Below are 23,132 nucleotides of genomic sequence, written 5' to 3' on the forward strand. Positions count from 1 at the left end.
AATATCAGCAATTTTATGCAAATCAACATAATATAAATACTTCAACATATAAACTGCATGTTCATCCACTAGATTTTACACAATTATTTACTGTTTTCCTCACTATGTTCAAGGAGCTTAACTTTCTGACAAAGAGTTATCAGTAAATAAAAATTGAGTAAGCTACAATGTGTGAGAGCTGGAAGAGGGAAAATGGGATGAAAATTGGAAAAATTCTATAAGCCAATTAAAAAAGTATAGTTTATTTTTACACAAAAGTGAATTTGTCTTTTACTTTATTTTGAGGGCATTATATGTTTGTAAATATGATAATGACAGAGTTCTTTTTATGCTTTAGGAAATAAAAGGAGGCAGGGGGAAAAGACCAGTTACGTGAAAACTCTTTTAAGAAAAAATGGAAGTAAGTGAACGAAGAACCTAGACCCAGAGACAGAAAATAAGGAAAACTAGAACATGGGCTTTAAAACGGTATTGACAACACTGTCAGAAGACACAGGACAAGTAGGACTTCATTGAAAGGAGTTTATTAGATTGAGCAATGAAGTTTTTGGTACCTTGGTTGAAAGTAGATTCAGTGCATTGATAGGGGAATAATCCTGAGAGTGGGCCTTAATCAGGTGATTCATGGGTATGTGTGGAAGCCAGGAGTCTTCTGGGCCTGGTCCTAGTAAAAAGCAAAACAGATAATAGTGGATTGAATGAACTCATGGATTCTTCTTTTTCTAGACTATTACGGTTATAAAGTTCTATGATAAAATGCTTTGTTAAATTTTTTATGCTTATTTGTGGAATTATATCAATTCTTCTCGTCCTTCATTTGAATATAGATCACCCTAAGAATTTTGTAAAAACTATGGAACCTGCTATAGACTGAGTATCTGTGTGCCCCAACCTCATAATTCACGTATTGAAACCTAATCTGTAATGTGAAAATATTTGGAAGCAGGTCTTTTAGGAAGTGATTAGGTCATGAGGATGAAGCCCTTATGAATGGTATTAGTGCCCTTATGAAAGAGGCCCTAAAGAGCTGCCTGATTTCTTCTGCCTTGTGAGGATACAGTGAGAAGGCACCATCTGTGAGCAAGGAAGCAAACCCTCACCAGAGACCATATCTGCCAGCATCTTGATCATGGACTGCCAGACTCCAGAAATGTGAGAAATAAATCCATATTGTTTTTTAGCCACCCAGCCTGTGGGATTCTGTTACAGCCATGTGAAGACTAAGACAGAACCTCACTGCCCCCAAATGCAGGTTATTAGACATTCATAGACCTCAGGTTAAAAACTGATGGATTAAAATAATTGAAAAATGTGGTGATTAGTTGATAGCCATTGTTGTTATGTGAGATCTCTTCTTAAATCTTCTTTTCTTCGCAGTGGGATAGAGTGCTACAAGAAAATAGCATTCTAATTTCATTCAGTGGAAAGTCATATCTCGGAACTGTTCTAATCTTTCCATATTATCTTCATAGCTTTTCAATATATTTTTGTTGTCTATTTTGTTTATATGTGTCACTTTAATCTTTGAATTGTTAATTGCAATGTTCATTTATTTAATGATTAATACAATTAATTATAATTTATAATACAAAAAAATTGTACAATAAAGAAGGAAAATATAATTTATTTACTTCTTCTCCTTGCCATATTTCCCATTAAAATCTCCACAACTTTCACATAAATCTCTGCTTTCATTAAAATTTCCACAACTTTCACATAAATCTCTGCTTTCTTTAAAATCTCCACAACTTTCACATAAATCCCAGCTTATGGCATTTTTTATTTCAAAGTTTTTATTACCAACTCAGATGAAAGTTTATTATATAGCTTATTTTAAAAGTATCTCTGTTTTCACTCTTGTTCCTTCAAAGGTCTCCACACTAGCTATCATTTCATTCACTATCATTTATATATACATGTGTGTGTGCATAAATATATAATTATCTAATGGTTTAATCCAACATAAATGACCTTTTTCTTTATTATAGACATATCCCGGATTAGAAGGTGTTCATACATAGTCCATCAGATTTAGAATTAACCTTTGTGGACATCTAATGTACTGTCAACAATTCCTATACAAAGACAACTCTATAACAAGCAATATTCAATAAGATTAATGCTTAAGAGTTATGAAGGTAATGCAAATTGAAGCAAGATTTAAGGCAACTTTTGTAGCCACTAAATGAACGAACATGACGTTTTTGAAATTGTAGTAAAATTGGTACACTTAGGAACCGCTGGAAGCATTATAACAGCACAAACTTTCTGAAAAGTATTAAGAGCTTACATTTGTGGTTAACTCCTTATATTTGTGGTAAATCCACATACCATGTAACATAGGTTACATGTTGATTAATACTTTTCAACAAAGTAATCTTCTCTGTAATTAACTTATTCTAGGCAAACTGTCGCATGTCTAAAGATTATTCACTGTAGTGTCATTTATATTAGCAGAAAACACAGTTTAGTTATATCAGGATTTGGAAGTTTTGTAAATTAAATAGGGAAATAGAATATTATACAAACATTACAATAATTATAGCAACCCATTAAATATTTACCACATTAAATTAGTTGAAAATAAATGTTACTGAAAAGCTAAATTTTAAACACTTAAAACTTTAATGGAAAAAATACACTATAATCTTTTACTTTAAATTGGTACTGAATACTATATCTCACAGATTTACAACAGCAAAACCAACACAACAATTTCTTCTTTAACTACTACATCTATAGAGTTTTCATGGATTTATGTATCTCCCTATAACCAGAAGGAATGAATTTTCTATTCTGAAGACTGAGTCACAGCATGCTGATGGAGAATCGGGCTGTCAATCATTCTGCCTAAGGACAAGTACTCAGAACAAGGCCTGGCTGAGATGCCACAGGACCTCTGTGTAAATTTCTCTAAAAATGTAGGGCATAAATATGAGTCCTCCCTGGTGTTTTCCTGTTTTGGACCATTGTACAGGCCAATGTGGCTCTCCACTCCTGCTAGCATGGCCTCACTCATGCCCCCTCGGTGTGGAGGCTGCTGCACCACATGTTCCATTCACTATAACCACTGCACCTGCTGTGGCCCTGGCTGCATCCAGGAGCTCTGGGTCAGGAATGGTTATGACCGCAGGCACCTTCATGGATCAGAGAAACCATTTCCCAGAATCCCTCCACAGGGTCCACTCTGACACTTTATCTCCTGGACCAAAGCATGTGTGTTTGATTGTGGAGGAGAGTGTTGGGATTAAGGGCCAGGCTGCTCAGGGTCAGTTCTCTGTGGGGCACTAGGAGCTCTATGAAATGGGAAAGGTTTCCTTGTCTCTCTGTACCTTAGTTTCTCCCTTTGCAATATGGAAGTGATAACAGCACCTACCTCCATGACATAGTTTTGATTAGGATTAAATGAGTTAACACCTATAAAGCACTTAGAACTCTGCACTGTGTCATGCAAGTGTTTATGGAAGAAAAGAAGGAAGGGAGATAGGGAGAAAGAGAGAGAAGCAGAGAAGGAGGGAAGATTATTTTCGGCTACTGAATTATAAGAGTCAAACATTCAATCTAGCATTAAAAAGATCTTATATTTTTTAAAAAAAAAATCTAGTAAGACAAACTTAATGGTTTAAAAAAATATGTAATTAGTTGAAAAAATCTAAATATTTATAAAAGACTGACCTAAGAAAAGTGATACACAACGGCTAAAGGTAAACAGATTGACCAATATAAGGAGACAGAGGGAGAAATGAAATGATCATAGATACACCAGGCCAATTTAACCAAAAGCAAAAGAGACAGGCCTTTTCATTTTTAAAGGCAGTGGAATGTAAGATAAAACATATTACCTATGATCGAGTTGCTAAATTTTTAATGAAGTTCCACAATAAAATTATAATGATTTAATTCTTTTCCTGCTAAATAGCATGGCATCACAATTTAGAAAGCAAAGATGGTGAAACGGAAATAATAAGCAAAAGAAGACTTAAAAGTTCTTTAAGTGAAATATAAAATACAGGAAAATAAATGCAGATGTAAAAATAGCATAATTGGCCATGCTGAGGTAATGACAAACATATCCATAGGTACGCACTCTCATTTTTTTTCTTATTTATTTATTGTATGAGAGAGGGCCTTGCTGTGTTGCCCACACTGGTCTCGAACTCCTGGGCTCAATTGAACCTGCTCTCTTGACCTCCCAAAGTGCTGGGATTACAGGTGTGAGCCACCACACTTGGCCTAGATATTCATTCTCAGTGATAGGCCTTGATATGGTTTAGCTGTGTCCCCACCCAAATCTCACTTTGAATTGTAGCTCCCATAATTCCCATGTGTCATGGGAAGGATTCAGTGGGAGATAATTGAATCAAGGGGATGGTTTCCCCCATACTGTTCTCAGGGTAGTAAATAAGTCTCAGGAGACCTGATGACTTTATAAGGGGTTTCCCTTTTCACTTGGCTCTTATTCTCTCTTTTCTGCCACCACGTAAGATGTGCCTTTTGCCTTCCATCATGGTTGTGAGGCCTCCCCAGCCCATGTAGAACTGTGAATTCATTAAACCTCTTTTTCTTTATAAATTGCCTAGTCTCAGGTATGTCTTCATCAGCAGCATGAAAACGGACTAATACAGGCCTTAATATATATTTTTTAAATTTCAACTTTTAGATAAAGGGAACACATGTACAAGTTTGTAAAATGGATATATTGTACTCAGGTAATGAGCAAAGTACCCAACAGGTAGTTTTTCAGCCCAGGCCCCCTCCCTCCTTTCCCCCTTCTGTCCATGTGTGCTCAATGTTTAGCTCCCACTTGAAAGCGAGAACATGCAGTATTTGGTTTGCTGTTCCTGCATTAACTCACTTCGGATTATGGTCTCCAGCTCCATACACATTGCTGCAAAGGATATGATTTTGTTGTTGTCACGGTTATATAGCAGCCCATGGTGTATCTGTACTACATTTTCTTCATCCAGTCCAGCCTTGATGGGCATCTAGGTTGATTCCATGTCTTTGCTATTGTGAATAACATGATGATGAGCATATAAGTGCATGTGTCTTTTTGGTATAATCTATTTTCCTCCGGGTATGTACACAGTAATGGGATTGCTGGGTGGAATGGTAGCTCTGTTTTAAGTTTGTTGAGAAATTTCCTCACTGCTTTCCACAGTGGCTGAACTAATTTACATGCCCATCAGCAATGTATAAGCATTCCCTTTTTTCTACAGCCTCTCCAGCATCTGCTGTTTTTTGACTTTTTAATAAAAACATTCTGACAGGTATGAGATGGTCGCTTGTGTTGGTTTTGATTTGCATTTCTCTGATAACGAGTGGTGATGACCATTTTTTAACATTAATTTGTTGCTTGTGTGTCATCTTTTGAAAAGTGTCTATTCTTATCCTTTGACCATTTTTTAATTTGGTTATTTGTTTTTTGCTCATTGATTTGTTTAAACTCCTCGCAGATTCTGTATATTAGACCTTTGTTGGATGTATAGTTTGTGAGTATTTTCTCCATTCTTTAGGTTGTCTATTTACTCTATCGATAGTTTCTTTTGCTGTGCAGAAGCTCTTTAGTTTCATTAGGTCCCACTTGTCAATTTTTGTTTTTATTGTAATTGCCTTGGGGAACTTAGTCAAAAATTATTTGCCAAGGCCAGTGTTGAGAGGGTATTTCCTAGGTTTTCTTCGAGGATCTGTATAGTTGGAGGTCTTATATTTAAACCTTTAATCCATCTTGAGTTAATTTTTGTATATACTGAAAGGTGAGAATCCAGTTTCATTCTTCTGCATGTGGATAGGCATTAGTAATAATGATGGTTAACAATCTATAGATGAGAAAACTGAGGCTTAAATAACTTGCTTAAAAAATCATACAGATGATAATGGGCAGAGGTGGAATTTAAATCCATTGATAAATGACACAATGCTAACCACAATCCTAGGATAAATGGGAACGAAAAACTGAGCCAACACTGGAAGGAGATAGCAGAGATATGATATCCAATACCTTTCTCTTTCCTTTTTCTTCCTCCTTCCTTTCTTCTCGTCCTTCTTTCCTCCTTTATTTCTTGCTTTCTCTGATATTTTCATTTTTTAAAATCCAGACTGCTTATTAACCTGGCTTTCTTATTTTAAATGGTGGAGAGTAGAATCTCCATCTCAAACATGTTTGTATCACCCCAGGGGCTGTTAGGTGTCAACAGATATTTGTTTAATTGAATTGAAACAGAAAAAAAGAAACTTGAAAAAGAAAACATAGATGCAAATCACTAGGTAAACACTAAAATCTGGGTATGGTGTACCTTAATGTGAATACTTTTGAAATTTTAGTGACAAAGTTGCAATAATTTGCAGAATATTATTTTTCGCTTTTTGTCAAAGAGGACTGTCAAGGCCGGGCGCGGCAGCTCATGACTGTAATCCCAGCACTTTGGGAGGCCGAGGCCGGCAGATCACGAGGTCAGCAGATCGAGACCATTCTGGCTAACACGGTGAAACCCTGTCTCTACTAAAAGTACAACAAATAAAAAAAATTAGCCGGGCATGGTGGTGGGCACCTGTAGTCCCAGCTACTTGGGAGGCTGAGGCAGGAGAATGGCTTGAACCCAGGAGGCGGAGCTTGCAGTGAGCCGAGGTCGCGCCACTGCAACCCAGCCTGGGCGACGAAGTGAGACTCCATTTAAAAAAAAAAAAAAAAAAAAAAAAAAAAAAAAAAAAGAGGACTGTCAAATTGAATTGACCTTTCAAGGTAATTTTTTCAAACTTTCAAACTTAGGAGAGAAAGAGAACACAAAACAAAAATGAAAACGTTTCCTAACTCCTTCTCTTGAGATGTTTATCACCACCTTCTGTTCATCTACAAAGCTGGTGCAGATGGAATACTCTCCCTCCCTGGGGTTTCAGATCACAGGAAGAAGACATTATTATCATCCTCCTTATCACAAAAGAAAACTCTCGTTAGGATGATCTATGATAGAAACGTCCAGGGAAGATGCTGCTCTCGGTGCCCTGGTGCTTCCTGTTCCTTGACCCGATTCTTCCCAGTTCAATGGGAAAATGAACAAGAGAATCTAGAGAGAGCCAAGACTAATACTCCATTCTCTTAACCTGTATTCATGTCTATCTTAATATTTTTTCTATCTTGCTTAGTTAAAAAGAGAGAGAGACAGAGAGAGCACTCACCCCTAGCCCAGAGTCATATGTGGGGTGCTTTGTCTGAGAGTTTGAGGAAAGGCCAATGCCACCAGCTCCCTGTCTTTTGGAATGGGATCTCTGGGGTGCATTAGCACTTCAGGCGAGACCCAGGCTTCCTGAGCTGCTCTCTTTACCATGGGCCCAGCTCTGGCTGAAAGCCTTCTGAGAGCTTGTTAGACTGCAGGAAGGCGAGAATCCTTCAGCAAGCCAGTGAGATCACTGCTGCACCCACCTGGGTCTAGGCTGGAGGTCTCTACATGAGGGCTGTCATGGAAAGGCTCGATCCCAAGACACTGAGGTCACCCTGGTAAGCAGATGTGGAGAAGGGAGCCAGGCCCGGGAGGAGGAAGACTGACTTAATGGAAATGTTTAAGTTTTTCTTTGTAAGAAAAATAAAAAGCCAATCCACAAATTTACATTACATTATAATGGCCTATAAACTGGGCAGAATATATAATTATAATGAGGAATTTCAGAAAACAATGCTGCTTCTGAATATTTTAATAATATAAAATAATAATTTGGGGTTATGTTTTTGTTTTTGTTTTGTTTTGTTTTCTGGCCAGACACAGTATCTCACACCTGTATTTTCAGCATTTTGGGAGGCTGAGGCAAGAGGAACCCTTGAGGACAGAAATTTGATACTAGTCTGGGCAACACAGGGAGATCCTATCTCTATAAAATAAAATAAATACTTAAAAAATATATTTTTTTAAATTAGCAGAAAACTAAGGAACTCAATGGGCTTTCATGTCAGGGATCAGCTAAATGATTTTTATAATTTACAGAATTATGAGATGCACTTTTAAGTAATGCAAAATGATTATAAATTATATTTCTTCTGATGTGTTTACTCCTACTTTTACATTTTAGGTTAATAATCTACCTTAGCTATTTTGGAAATAGATAGGGAATAAATATTAACCTAGTAAAACAAGATAAATTATGTATTTAATTAACTTTCCACATTCTATTAATAACCTTTAAAAGTTTATATATCACATACACTGGATTTGAATGCTAAATAATAATTGTTTAGACTATTTAAGTCTAAAATTCAAAATCTTGGGGTGAGAGGGGGCTTAAAATTTGTAAAGTGAAAAACTGATATTTGAGGATTGAATTACCATGTGGTAGTCCAGGTTATTCTTGAACATCTCCACTGACAGGAAATGGTGTCTCTAATAATAGCTTATTGCATCTTTAGACTGTTTAACTGTGCTGAAATCCTTCCTTACATTGGCTGTTTCCAAGCAAGTTCCCACTAATTAATTGATAGGTCTTTATTTTGTTGATGTATATACTGACTCAGTTTATGTTTCCCGTGACAGGCTGCAGGATGCCTGGAAAAGTTTTCATCTATTATGTTGAGTCTTATGAAATTACCAATTTTTAGGTCAAAATGGCTGAATATCATCAATTTCATATGCTTCAACCCATGACTCCCTGGGCCTTCTCTTCTGCAGGTAAGACTCCCCAAGTCCTTCGACTCTTCCTCCATGGCAGGCCTTCACCATCCTTTTCAGGCTGGAGGCCACTCTGTGGAATCTTGGACAATTATTTACTGTGAAAAGATCCATTACATGGATATGAATACTAAACTAACTTCTGTGGCCTACACATTTGGAAAAAATCCAGAGGAAAAATTGGAAAAATATGAGAAGTGTAAGATGCTTAACAACAAGTTATACTGCTGTTTATTGAGGACTTATAATAATCTTTTAGATGTGATACCCCCTTTTTACAGCTAAGAAAACAAATTCCCCAGTAGGCTAAGTAGCTTGCTCCAGATAACATAACTATAAACTCTAGCATCCAGATTTGACTCGGATATTCTGGCCCCACATTCTATGCATGCCCTTTCCCCTAATAATGACTCCACGAGGCCAGATGTGGGTTGAACACTGGAAAATGTCAAGCTGCAAGAAGATTACCCTGACTAACTCCCCCAGTTCTCCCAGGTATGTGTGCATTGGCTTCAACTTCCCTCAGTTAACAATTCCATACAAGCCCTTCCAATTTGACGCAGGAAGACAAAACTTAGAAAAACTTTAGAAAGATCCATCATTTATTGTCTCAGTGCCAACACTTATTGGACTCACCTACCCTTTGATATCTAAAAGTAATTAATATTTTATTCAAGTCACAATGTAAGTGCGAGGGTCCAAAAGACTGAAAAGGTGGGACCTTGTGGGCCTGTTGTCTTCAAGTCAAAGGTAATAAAATGGATATTTTTGTTTAAATTATGTTGCAAAATCTTTATGTCACTTTCACTACCTGCAACAGCGTTCTCATTTCTAACTCCTCCGAATTCCCTGTTTTTATTCTCCAGGACTGTATGTGCTTTCATCTCCATCTCTTTCCTCCTCCCCCCAAAGATGCCCACATCCCACTCTGTAGAATGTATGAATTACCACAGTGCATGGCAAGATGGGCTTTGCAGATGTGAGTTAAGTTATGGCCCTTAAAATTGAGAGACTATCCTGGATTTTCTGGGTATGCCTAACCTAATCCATGAGCCCTCACAAAGAACTGTCTCCAGCTATCTGGGAAAAGAAGAGATGGCAGAATTACGGCAGAAGGAAAAAATAATTGAAATGTGAGGACTTCACCATCATTGCTGGCTTTGAACCTGGAGGAGGAAGGCCACAAACCAAAGAACACAGGTGGCACCTGGATGCTAAAGATCACCTCCAGCTGACAGCTAGCAAGGAAACAGAGACGCAATCCTACAACCACAAGGAACTGACTTCTGCTAACCTGCAGGAACTTGGAGGCAGAATCATCCCGAGACCCCAGAAAGAAACAGTGTCCTTCTGACACCTGGATTTTAGCCTGGAAGCCCAGATGAGCCATGCTCCTCCCAGACTTCTGATTTACAGGACAGTGAGTTGCATGTTGTTTTAAGCAGCTCCGTTTGCAAATATTTGTTATGGCAGCAAAAGGAAACAAATACAGTCTTTGATATATTTGCTAAGCCTCTATTTCTAAATGTCCTCAGTTTTTGTTTTCTGTATGTGTCTGTGGATCTCTGTACAGAATTGTGATTTTGTCAGCTTCATAGCATTCATTGCTCCAGCCAGCCATTGGCAGAGGCAATGGGATGAGACACAGTGATCAAGAGCACGGGCTTCAGAGACAGTGTCACCCCAGTGCCCATCTCCAGAGCTCCATTTATGAGAAGACCAGGTGACTAGAACTAGAATCACATGATGGGACTATGGATCTGAGTGAGCGGAACATGCAGATAGGAACAAGAGCTGGCCTAGGGCCATAGTACGAAACAGGAAGTGTCTGCAAGTGCAGAACCCAACTTCTATATCCCATTTGCTGTTTTATGTACATTTTGGACCAGATCTTCCTGTGCTGGGGGCAGAGTGCAACTTAGTGGCAACAGTGTAGTGAAAGTCTGTGGATTCCAAACCTTTCTGCAGAACTCAGACATATGATGCTGAAGCCTCTGGCTGCTCTCTTATCCTTTATCCCATGACTCACAATGGATGCCTGTAGCAGGGGTTTGACAAGGTGCTGCTGGCACAATTTTATCTCCACCACTTTCTCTATGACAGATGAGGGATGCAAGAACCTTGGCAAGCGTGGCACAGAGATTCTGCAAGCTCTTCAACCTGTCAAGTAGCAAAGCAAAATCAATCACAGAAGCAACCCCTCGCTGTGGTTGGAGATTAACATCTTTACAAGATAATAAAGGCAACAAATTACATCTGCCAGCACTCAAGGCAGGAGGCTCATAAAGAAATTCTTCAATAAGCAATGAGACTCTTTGCCCTGGCCCAGTAGATTTAGAGAGACAGCTGGAACCTGGGCTGCAGGCAGTTATAGATCAACTGCAAGACCTGCATGCTTATAGAGATGGACTGCCCATGAATGCCCCGATGGTTGGCTCCAGCAGCTGGCAGGATTCTGTCATGAGGAGTCACAGAAGTGGGCAGCAGACATTTGAATCACCACAGCTACTCCCTGTCCTACCTCCTGCCCATCTGTGGTAGCCATAGTTTTACACCCTCAGATCTTCAAGAAAACCTGCCATGGGGAGCACAGCTTACTGGCAGCCTGCAAGGCAATGTCTTTGGATCTGCCATTGTGTTCCTGCTGCGGCCCTGATTCCCCAGGGCTGCTCCAGCCAAAGACTGGACACAGGGCTACCAACACCAGGCCATTTCTGTCTGATGCGAGTCTCCTGCAACAGGCACTATTTGCTTCAGTTCTTCCTATCAACCTGGGCAAGACTCTTTCAAAGCTGCATTTCAATCAGAAGCTTTCTACCTAATCCTTCCTGTCCTCTCTGCTGTCACAAGTGTCAGGTGGCATCATGGTAGGAAGTCTCTCCTCTTCTCCTGCTATTTCTTTACCTTTCACAGATACTTTTCCCAAAATCTCCTTTATATCTCTCTTGAGATGGTGTCTGCTTCTTGAAGCACCCAGAGTGTAATGCACTATCACTCCAAAATGTCCCTCAGATACTAGCCAATGTCTGATAACCATAATTTCACAAATTTCTTTCCATTCATTTATTCATCCTTTCAAAAAATATTTACTAAAACCAACTCTGTTCATAAGTGGAAGAAATATTAGAGATGAATAAGACACAATCTGTGCCTGCAAGGAGCTGAGAGTTCACTGAAGATGATGAACACATCATTAAGCAGAGTGAAAATTACTATACACCACAGTGGTAAGGGAAAATCAAACAGGAAAGAGACATTTGGGGATGAGTAATAAAGGAGGGCAATGCACTATAAAGAGAGGGATGAACATGTGGATCTTTTGTGTTACAGAACTGTGAGAACAGAATGAAAGAAAATGAGTGTTATAGAGTAATCTGCAATCTTTCTGAAGAATTAGCCTATGTTAAAATGCAAACAAGAGAGACATCCACTTAGGTCAAGATTGAGCAACAAGAATTAAATTTACCTTTCTGGCTGAACAACTACAAAACAAAAAACAAACAGAGAAAAAGATATTTGAAACAATACCTTTCAAGACACTGCCTATCAAACAGCAACCCCTGAAAGGAAACACGAGAGGTGAGCCTTGCAACTGCTTCCACCTAGAACCGTCACAGAGTTTTGGGGACATGTCCCAGGGAGTGAACCTATGCAGAGCCAAGTAGGGTTGAGATGGTGCTAGACAGAGAGAGACCAAGGTGGTTAGAGTTCCCAGGAGTGGGTATTAGGGCTTAGAGGTCTGCACAGAGAACCCTAGAGACCACAGAGGGTCATCTTTGAGTACACAAGAGAGTTCTGATAAACTCATGCAGGTATGGAAAATACTGAAGGCCACAAAAACACGGCCATTAAATCATCTGGCCATTAAACCAGAACCATTAAACCATCACATAAAAGGGTGAGAGAAAACAGTGTCTGGTACTCCTACACACAGCTAAAAGTGGTGCCTGTTCCCACTAACTAGAATGGAAAACTTAATAATTCAAAGGGAATTGGGCAGGATACTCAGACGGATCTAACCTTATGATTGAGGAATAATTGACATTATAATGAGATTTTCAAATATTAAACATCCTACTGTGTTAAGCCATTCTTTGCATTGCTATAGAGAACACCAGAGGCTGAGTACTTTATAAAGAACAGAGGTATACTTGGCTCACATTTTGGCAGGGTATAGAAGCATGACACTACCATCTGCTCGGGTTCAAGGGAGACCTCATGGAGTTTTACTCATGGCAAGAGGCAAAGCAGGAGCAGGCACATTACAAGGCAAGAGCAGGAAAAGAGAGAGAGAGAGGTAGGGGAAGTACCAGACACTTTTAAACAACCAGATCTCACAAGAACTCACTATCACAAGTACAGCACTAAGCCATGAAGGAGCTGCCCCCATGACCCAAACACCTCCTCCAGGCCTCACCTCCAACACTAGGGATTACATTTCCACATGAGATTTGGGCAGGGCAAATATCCAAACTTGATCACCTGCCTAACGAACATTAAAGATAAGTCCCAAAAGCTTCAAAGTGTTTCCAAGTAACCTAAGGAATTCCAGAACAAAGCTCAATAATATTTAAGAAAATACAAAAACGTTCAGCACCAGAAAGGTAAAATTCTCAATGCCCGACATTCAATCAAGTGTTTCCAGGAAGGAGAGAGGAAATATACATGAGTATTTAAGCCATTTTGAGAAGAAAAACTAATCAATTTAAGCCAGTTCAGAACTATCACAGATGTTAGAGTGATCAGACAAGGACATCAAAACAGTTGTAACTGCAGTCTCTGGGCAAACTAGAAAAACCATTAAACAAGTAGAAGAATGGAAAATATTTTAAAAATCAAACTGCTAAAGATAAAAATTAACATGTCTATGAAGTAAAATACAATGATGGAATTAATGGCATATGAGATATTGTAGGAAAAAAGATTTGTGAACTTGACAACATAGCAAGAGAAAATACTTAAAATGCAACAAAGAAAAAAATAATTTCAGAAATAAATAAATAGACCATCAACAAGCCGTGGATCAACTTCAAAATGACCTAATATGTGTGTATCTGGAATCTTCAAGAAAGAAGGGACAGAAAAATTATTTGAATTAATAATGGCCAAAATTTCCAAATTTGATGAAAACTGTAAGCTCACTTATTCAAAAAGATCAATGAACCTCAAGCAAAAGAAATATAAATAAATCACATCAAGAATGTTTTAAACGAATTGCTTAGAATGAGAATACAAAACTCCTAAAGGCAAAGAAAAAAATCCCACATTATATACGGAAGAACAAAGATAAAATGAGAGCAGATTTATCATCAGAAAAAAATGCAAGAAGACAGTGAAGTGATATATGTAAAATATTGAAAGAAAAGCACTGTCAATCTAAAATTATTTGGCCAACAAAAATAACTTTTAAAAGCAAATGTAAAATAAAGTCTTTCTCAGATATACAAAAGCTGAAAAAAAAAAATCATCCCTAGCCATCCCAAACTACAAGAAATACTAAAAGAAGATCTGTAGGCATGAAAAATAATAACAGGTGAGAATCTACATGTAGATTCCAAATAATGAAAGGTAAATATATAATATGTTCTTATTTAAATATCATAAATAATTAACTGTTTAAACAAAACTTTAAAAAAGAAACCTGAGCCAGGTGCAGTGGCTCACGCCTGCAATCCTAGCATTTTGGGAGGCTGAGGGGGGCGGATTGCCTGACCTCAGGAGTTCGAGACCAGCCCGGGCAACATGGTGAATCCCCGTCTCTACTAAAATACAAAAAATTAGCTGAGCATGGCAGCATGCACCTGTAGTCCCAGCTGCTCAGGAGGCTGAGGCAGGAGAATTGCTTGAACCCAGAGGTGGAGGTTGCAGTGAGCTGAGATTGCACCACTGCACTCCAGCCTGGTGACAGAGCAAGACTCCATCTCCAGAATAAATAAATAAATAAATAAATAAATAAATAAATAAATAAATAAAATAAACCTGAACAAAATACTAGCAAACCAATTCAAAATCTAGCAACATATTAAAAGGATTATACATCATGACCAAGTGAGTTTTATTACATGAATGCAAGTTTGTTCCAACATACAAAAAGTAATCAATGTATACACTATATTAACAGGATAAAGGGGAAAAAGAAACTCACAATCATCTCAATAGATGCAGAAAGAACATTTGATAATATCCAACAACCTTTCATAATAACAACACTCACAAACTAGGATTAGGAGTGAACTTCTTCAACCTAATGAAGCACATGTGTGAAAAACCCATGAAAACATCATACTTAATGGTGAAACACTGAGAACTTTCCTCTAAGATCAGGACTAAAAGTCTAATCTCTTAGGATGTCTACTCTTGCCACTTCTGTTCAATGCTGTACTAGAGTTTCCAGCATGGGCAATTAGGCAAGACAAAGAAATAAAAGGATTCCACACACACAGATTGAAAAAAATAAAATTATCACTATTTGCAGATGACATAATCTTTTCTATAGAAAACCTTAAAGGATCCACACATAGCCCCTTCATACACACACACAAAATCTATTAGAGAGAGAAAACAAGTTCAGCAAAGTTGCAAGATAAACAAATATATGAAAACCAATTTCTATATACTAGCAATAAATAATCTAAAATTAAAATTAAGAAAAAAATCATTTTAAAATAACACCCAAAATAATAAAATAGTTATGACTAAATGCAACCAAAAAAAGTGTAAGACTTGTACACTGCAAACTGCTAAACATGTTGAAAGAAACCAAAGAAAACCTAATAATATGGAGAGGCATACTAATTTCATGGACAGAAAGACATAATACTATTAAAATTGGAATATCCTCAATTTGATCTACAGATTCAGTATGTAATCCCTATCAAAATTCCAAATGTGATTTTTGCAGAGATGGAGAAATCAATTCTAAAATTCATTTTGAAACACTAGTTATCTTGAATATCCAAAACTGTCTTGAAAAAAATAACAAAGTTGGAGAACTGAGATTTCCCAATTTTGAAACATACTCCAAACCTAAAATAATTAGGACACTGTGGTACTGGCATAAGGATAGACATATAGATTAATCAAATAGATTGAGAGTACAGAATAAACCCAAACATATATGGTAAACTGATTTTTGACAAGGATGGCAAGGAAATTCAATAGGAAAAAAATAGTCTTATCAACAAATGGAGACAACACTGGACGTATCGACATGCAAAAGAATGAATTGAACCCTAAATCACACCAGATGCAAAAATCATCTCAAAATAAATCAAAGACTTAAATATGAGCTAAACTCTTAGAAGGAAACAGGTATAAAACTGTGTGACCTTAGATTAGGCAATAGCTTCTTATATACAACATAAAATGCACACACCAACAAGCAAACGAAAAAGAGAGAGATTTCCTCAAAGCTAAAAACTTTCACTTCAAAGAACACCATTAATAAAGGGAAAAGACAATCCACAGAATGGGGGAAAATAACTGTAAATCATATAGCTGATAAGAGTCTAGTATCTAGAATACATAAAGAATTCTTACAATGTAATATTTGTTTTAAAAAACAAAAACCCAGTTAAATATGGGCCACAGATTTGAATAGCCATTTCTTCAAAGAAGATATACAAATGGCCAAAAACTCATAAAAACATGTGCAGCATCATTCGTGATTAGGGAATTGCAAATCAAAATCATAATGAGATACAATTTCATACCCAGTAAGATGACTATAACAATTATTTTAATGAAAATAAAAAATGTTGGTCAGGCACAGTGGCTCATGCTGCCAGCACTTTGGGAGACTAAGTCAGGCGGATCTCTTGAGGTCAAGTGTTCGAGACCAGCCTGGCCAACATGGCAAAACCTCATCTCTACTAAAAATACAAAAATTAGCTGGGCATGGGCTGAGCTGGGTACAGTAGTCCCAGCTCAGGAGGCTGAGGCAGGAGAATTGCTTGAACCCAGGAGGTGGAGGTGGCAGGGAGCCGAGATCGCACCACTGCGCTCCAGCCTGGTGACAGAGCAAGACTCCATCTCAAAAAAAAAAAAAAAAAAAAAAAAATGTGTTGGCTGAGCATGTGGAGAAATTGGAAACTTCAAACGTTGCTGGTAGGAATATAAAATGGTGCAGTCACAGTCACAGTGGCAAACAGTTGTGGAAAACAGTTTGGCAGTTTCTCCAAAAGATAAACATGGAAATTATTATATTACCCAGCAATTATTGATCTGTTGTATGAAAAGTTGTGATTATTTAACTCAAAAAGTCTTTTCCAGATTGATATTATTACAGGAAAATTAGATCAGTTATTACATGCCGTACTCCCAGCCCATAGTAAGTGGTCAATGTATATTTCCCCTGTGATGAACATGCTTAGAAAAAAGTGAACTCTGATAGGGGTTAGATGAGTTAGGCAGAGGAGTTGCTCAACTCTGCATTGACATCCTGATCAAACTTATAGGGCAGGTGGTCCTAGATGTAGGATTGAGGAAAGGAGAATAAGTAACTGGAAACTGGAGAAGGAGTAACTGAAAAATAATGAGTAACTTTTTTATGGAGTAAAAAAAAAAAGTTTGAAGTTAGATCTAGATCATGTAACTGGATTTTAGTTTATCTATACAGTGGTAGCAATTTTTCTATCTGCCTCATAATATTGGTGAGGGGGAAAGGTGGTAAAATTTTTAATGTATACATAGAAAAGTGGAAGAAGAGCAGCCGTGGGGTTGAGCTTCTCCTCCTCACATGTTACCCCTGCCTGTTGATGCTTTAACTCAGGCTCCTGTCCTACGGAAGTTTGCTACAAATCCGAGGAGAGCTTTCTACATTGTGTACGGTAGAGCAATTTGGAGCCATGGTCCAAACTTCCAGTGCAGAGAATTAGAAATGGATGTCTTTCCAGTCATCTGTGGGCAGCAGTCACACAGAGAAACCAAGAGCACAGAGGCGTGGGAGGCTTGAGTGTGGCCCAAACACCAGGTGAGAAGGGAAGAGGTCTTCAGGTGTTTGGATCTTTTGTTCACAGATTTACTTCATTTCCAGGACTTCCGAGTTGATGATTGCTTCCACAGCTCCTCCTTACCCACCTTAGACATCCTGTTTCTTGTATTCTGTCTCCTAATATTTCCTCTCCACCTTCCCACTCATTTATTGTCCCTCATAGAACAGCATTTAGTAGCATTTCCTATTTGCCTGGTGATGCATCCATGAGTTTGAGAAGGGGCAGTGTGTGCCTGTGTGCAGAGGGGAGAAAGTCAGCGCGGGGGCTGCAGGGGGCAGGTCGGAGGGCTTGCCTGAGAGGACCGCACCAAAAAGAGATGAGGAGTGCAGGGGAAGGCATGTGGAGGCCTATCCTTCATCTTGATGTTCAAGCAAATAATGTAATCTTAGCTCACTAGTAACAAGGGAATCTCCAAGGGTCTTCACACTCTTTGGCTTCTCTCCCTCTCCTCCTTTCCTCACCTCTTTCTTCCCTTCCCACAGTGTTGGTCTTCCCCTACAATTCTCTCCTATTTCCACACTTGGCCCCTCCCCCTTTACCTGAACCTTTTACCTTTTCATCTCCCAGGGTTGGATCATTACCCTGCAGTTTCCCCTGGAATGTCGACACCATAGACCACTCACTGGCCTAACAGCCCCCCCAGGCAATTTTTGTTTGTTTGTTTATTAAAACTGAACATTACTTTTAAAATAAAAAAAATTACTAACAGTGGATTATGTATGTGAAAGCTAACAATGCTAAATAGTGGCTCCCCACTTTAGTAGGGACAGAAGGTCTCCCCATCACCCCTATCAAGACCCCTATTCTCTTCTTATAAAAAGCTCATATCTACATTCTGCATGGCTTGCCTAGTCCTTGTTAGCATGTGAGCTTGTAGCTCCTGGTCCAGATCCTCATCATGCTGGAAAAGTTGGGGACCCAGGGCCCATGCAGCCAGATCTTGGCCCAAGGGGACCCTTACTGACAGCAAAGAACTTAGTCAAGCCCCAAGAGCATGGACTGTAACTCAGGAGGCCTGGTCTCCAAAGCTGCACCCTGTTTGAAATGTGTAAAGGGCAATTCATATGACCTTTCTTAGCTGGGCAATGAGGAGGGGACATCTGAGGTTTTCAAGAAGGGCTCCTCCAACCCCTAGGGTGCCACAATTTCTGCCATAACTTAAATGAAGCATGTAAGGAAAAGAACGAAGGAGAGCAGAGGTCAGCAATGCAGGATGTGGTTAAAAATAAATAAATAAAAGATTTTATTGTAAGAACAATGAGAACCACTGGAATGTGTTAGGCAGAGAGTAATGTGATCCAATTTCCAGCTTTAAAAGCCTAGTGGGTTGTAAAGAAACACAGGTCCAAAAAAAAAAAAAAAAAAAAAAACAGAAAACAAAAAACAAAAACAAACAAAAAAAAGGAGACTAGTCAGGGAGCTGTTGCAGTTGTCCAGGAGAGAGCACTGGACTGTGAGTCAGAAGACTGTATGGGGGTGTCAGGTGGTGGTCTGGACAAGGTGTTCATAGAAAATTTGATGATAAATGGAAAAGACAAAATCAACAGAACATACCAATAGATAAGATGTGGGGAAGAGAAAAGAATAATCCATAAGGACACGTAGATATGTGTTCCGAGCACCAGGGTTGAGAGTGGTGCATTTTACAGAGTTTAGAAGGGAGCACAGATTTGTGAAACCAAGTTGAGTCTGGGGAGCAATGCGTAGCTCAATATTGCTGAAATAGACCATACAAGGGATTGGGAAATGGGGCAGAAAATGAAGGAAGAGATAGGTTATAGAAGGTATGGTACATCTGGATTTTATCTCGAAAGTGTCTTGACACCCCCCATACCTTCTTTTTCTCATAGAAATGTTGGCATGACATTTAGAATGTTCTCTCTGGCAATGGTGGGGAGTTTAGATTATAGGCGAAAAAGCTAAAGGGAAGAAGACAAATGAAGAGGCTGGAGCAAGTCAGAGGATGACTAAATCCTCCCCGCTAGCTACTTCCCTGAAATAAAATTACCCATTCCCTGACATCAGCATTCTTTCTGCCAATTCCCTTCATTTTGAATGCAAATTCCAAAACGTGCTTTCAGCTAGGGATAATTATCTAATTATCTATTATCCGGGGTGTATCGTTTCATTTTCCCCTCTTCCTCCCCCTTTATTCAGTGTGTGGCTTTTGGCGGGCTTGAGAAAGATATGACTCAATTGCCTGTCAGCACAGCTTGGGTGAGGAAAGAACATCATGGAAAAAAAGGAATCGAGCTTGTCTAGGGAGCAGAGAGGTAATTGATTACTAATTACTGAAACATTATGTCTGAAGGAGGCAAGGCACAAGCCTATTTTCCAAGGCTCCAGGTAATTAGCAAACATATTTAAGATACTCGCGATGGCTCCAGGGGAGAAACATCTGAGAAGGAGGTTTCTTCGCCTCCTTATAAGGTCCATTTATGGCTTTTGCGTGATGAGCTTCACACTCCCAAGCATGAAGGAGGGAATTGGGGTTGGGACCAAGGGCTTCCTTCAATATTGCCATCCAAAGGCAGGTATTCCAGAGTCAGCCCCTAGGGTTATCTAATGGCAAGGGTAAGAAAAAAGCAGCAAGGAAAGGAAGTTAAATAACTGAGCTCTTCACTTTCAAAAAAATGTTGAGGGTAATCTTTCAAAAACACAAGTCTAATCATGCCACTCCTCTGCCTGAAAGTCTCCAGTGACTTCCCTTTGTCTGAAGAGTTCTAGATTCTCAATGTTGCTTACATGGCACTCAGCCTCCTGTCCCATTGCTCCTGGAGAAAGACTGGCTGAGGATGATGTGTGGGCCACCTGTCTTGCAGTGCTCCCCGAGGACCATTCTTCCTCTCAAACCTGAATGTGTGCATCAGCCGTTTCTTATGACAAGCACTGTCTCCTCTTTTACTGTCAATTCTTCCTCACCCTCTTTGTAGCTCAAATGTCCCTCTTCCAGCAAGGTTTCCCTATACCCTAATTGTTGTGAAGTTCAGCCCCCCTTTTTTTAATGAACTCTATTTTTTAGAACAGTTTTAGATGCAAAGGAAAAATGCAAAGATGGTACACGGTGTCCTCATATTTTCCATACTCAATTTTTTCTATTATTAACACTTTACATTTGTATGGCATGTTTGTTACAATTAATGAATCCATGGTGATATACGTTTATGAACTAAAGTCTACCATTTATTCAGATTTTCTTAGTTTTCACCAGATGTTATTTTTCTCTTCCAAGATCCCATCCAGGATACCTATTACGTTAGGCACAATGTCTGTTTTTAGGTCCCTTGTGGCTATGACAGCTTCTCAGAGGTTCCTTGTTTTCGATGACCTTGACAGTTTCGAGGGGTCAGGTATTATATTGTATAATTCTCCTCTGTTGGAATTTGTCTGATGTTCTTCTCATGATTAGAATGGGGTAATGAGCTTGTCAGAGGAAGACCACGCAGGTAAAGTGCCATTTGCATCACATCACATCAAGGGTACATACAATCAATAGAATGCATGACTGTTAATGTTGACCTTGGTCACCTGGCTAATGTAGTGGATTTTGTTTGTTTGTTTTAGTAGAGACAGGGTCTCGCTATGTTGCCCAGGCTGGTTTCAAACTCCTGTGCTCAAGCAATCCTCCTGCCTCAGCCTCCTCAGTCACTGGAATTACAGTCATGAGCCACTGTGCCAAGCTCCTAACATAGTGTTTATCATGTTTCTCCACTGCAAAGTTTCTCTTTTTCCCCTCTTTTCATGCTCATTCCTTTTGATTTAAAAAGGAAATCATTATGCACGGGGCACACTTAGGAGTGGAGTGTTATGCACCATCTCATTGAATGTAGAGTAAATACATAAATTACTTGGGACTTTCCTGGATGGACATTTATTTCTTCTCTCTACTCATTTATTTATGCAATTATTTATTTATATCAGTATATCAATACTGATATATATTTATTTTATTCATTAACTTATGGTCCAATACTGCTTCATTTATTTTGTTGCTCAAATTGTTCAAGCATTGGCAACTGGAAAGTTTTTTTTAGTTAACTTCTGTGTCCCATTGACATACCCCATTATGGGACATTTGCTTGCTTGCTTGTTTTTCTTTGAGCACTTCCCCACTTTCCAGTGCTAAAGGATAGATTCCACAGGCTCAATCTGTAAGACAGACTTCCTGTCTTAGTCCTAACACCAGCCACTTCTCCAAGAACCTCTATTTTCTTACATTAGAAAAAGATGTTAGAAACAAAAGGTAGGCATGTTTGTTGCCACTGGGATGCAGTTATATCTAGGCTTCTTGGTTGAAATAGCAAGAAAATAGATGAGTACATACTAGCCCGTGTATAGACACATATCTGTGAATATTTCTATATGTATCGTCTTTGACTATATCCTGAACATGAGTTCATACTGCTATCTCCAATTCTTAATTACCACAAAGATCATTCTAGCCTCCTCCATATGTTTATCTATAAACTCTCACTTTAACAGTAAGAAATCTGGCTCACATCTTCCACTATCCACTCATTTAACTGTTCCTTTCCAGTATACACGGATAGCAGTATCAGAGTGTTAACCCATATTCCTGTGGAAATCAACATTTTCAATAAAGTATAGTTCTTGTTGCATTTCTTTTCCTGTAGTCTAACATACTCTATTCATTTCCAAAGTTAATTAAGTCGGCAGCTTTTTCATTACCTCTTTCTATAAGGTTGATTAATACATTTGTAATGAAGTTACATTGTTTTGTCATATTCTGAATTTCATTCTGGAATCCCTCAATCTCTTAGAATTTTACTATTTTGACTGTAAAGGTCAATGGACTCATAGAATCCACCATCACAGTATCATAAATGATAGTTTTCCATCCTAAAATATCTGTTCTGCTTCACCTACTTAGCCTTCTTTACTCCCTGAACCCCTAGAAAGCACTGATCTTCTCATTGTTGCTACTGTTTTACATTTTCCAGAATGTTACATATTTGTTGTCATATTGTGTAATCTTTCAAACTGGCTTCTTTCATTTAAACACACATCTACTATTTATCCTTATCTTTTTGGTTTGATAGCTTATTTATTTTTACTGCTGAATAATATTCCGTTGTATAGATGTACCACAGTTTATTTATGTATTCACTTATTGAAAGACATCTTGGTTTCTTCCAAGTTTGGGCAATTATGAATATACCTACTATAAACATCTGTGTGCAGATTTTTGTGTAGAAATAAGTCGTTAAATCCACTCAGCAAATATCAAGGGTTGTAATTGCTGCATTATATGGTAAGAATATAGTTAGCTTTGTAAGAAATAATCAAACTGTCTTCCAAACTGACTGTATCATTTTGGATTCTCAACAGCAATGAATGAGAGTTGTATTATTCCACATTCTCACCAGCAATCAGTATGTCATTTGTTTTGTTGTTGTTTAATTTTAACCCTTCTAATATATGTGTGATGGTATCTCATTTATTGTTTTAAATTTCAATTTCCTAG

General features: G+C 38.4%; 1 long non-coding RNA gene across 1 annotated transcript in view; it reads right to left on the minus strand.

Annotated features, from left to right (window-relative positions):
• Positions 1-508: 508 nt before the first annotated feature.
• Positions 509-23,132, minus strand: part of LOC124901626 (uncharacterized) — a 46,873-nt gene continuing 24,249 nt past the window's right edge. The window contains exon 2 of the long non-coding RNA XR_007060316.1: positions 509-664. This is a non-coding gene — a long non-coding RNA (uncharacterized LOC124901626). The remainder of the gene's footprint in view (positions 665-23,132) is intronic.

The sequence above is a fragment of the Homo sapiens genome, chromosome 7 (assembly GCF_000001405.40).
Source record: "Homo sapiens chromosome 7, GRCh38.p14 Primary Assembly".
Classification (NCBI taxonomy): domain Eukaryota; kingdom Metazoa; phylum Chordata; class Mammalia; order Primates; family Hominidae; genus Homo; species Homo sapiens.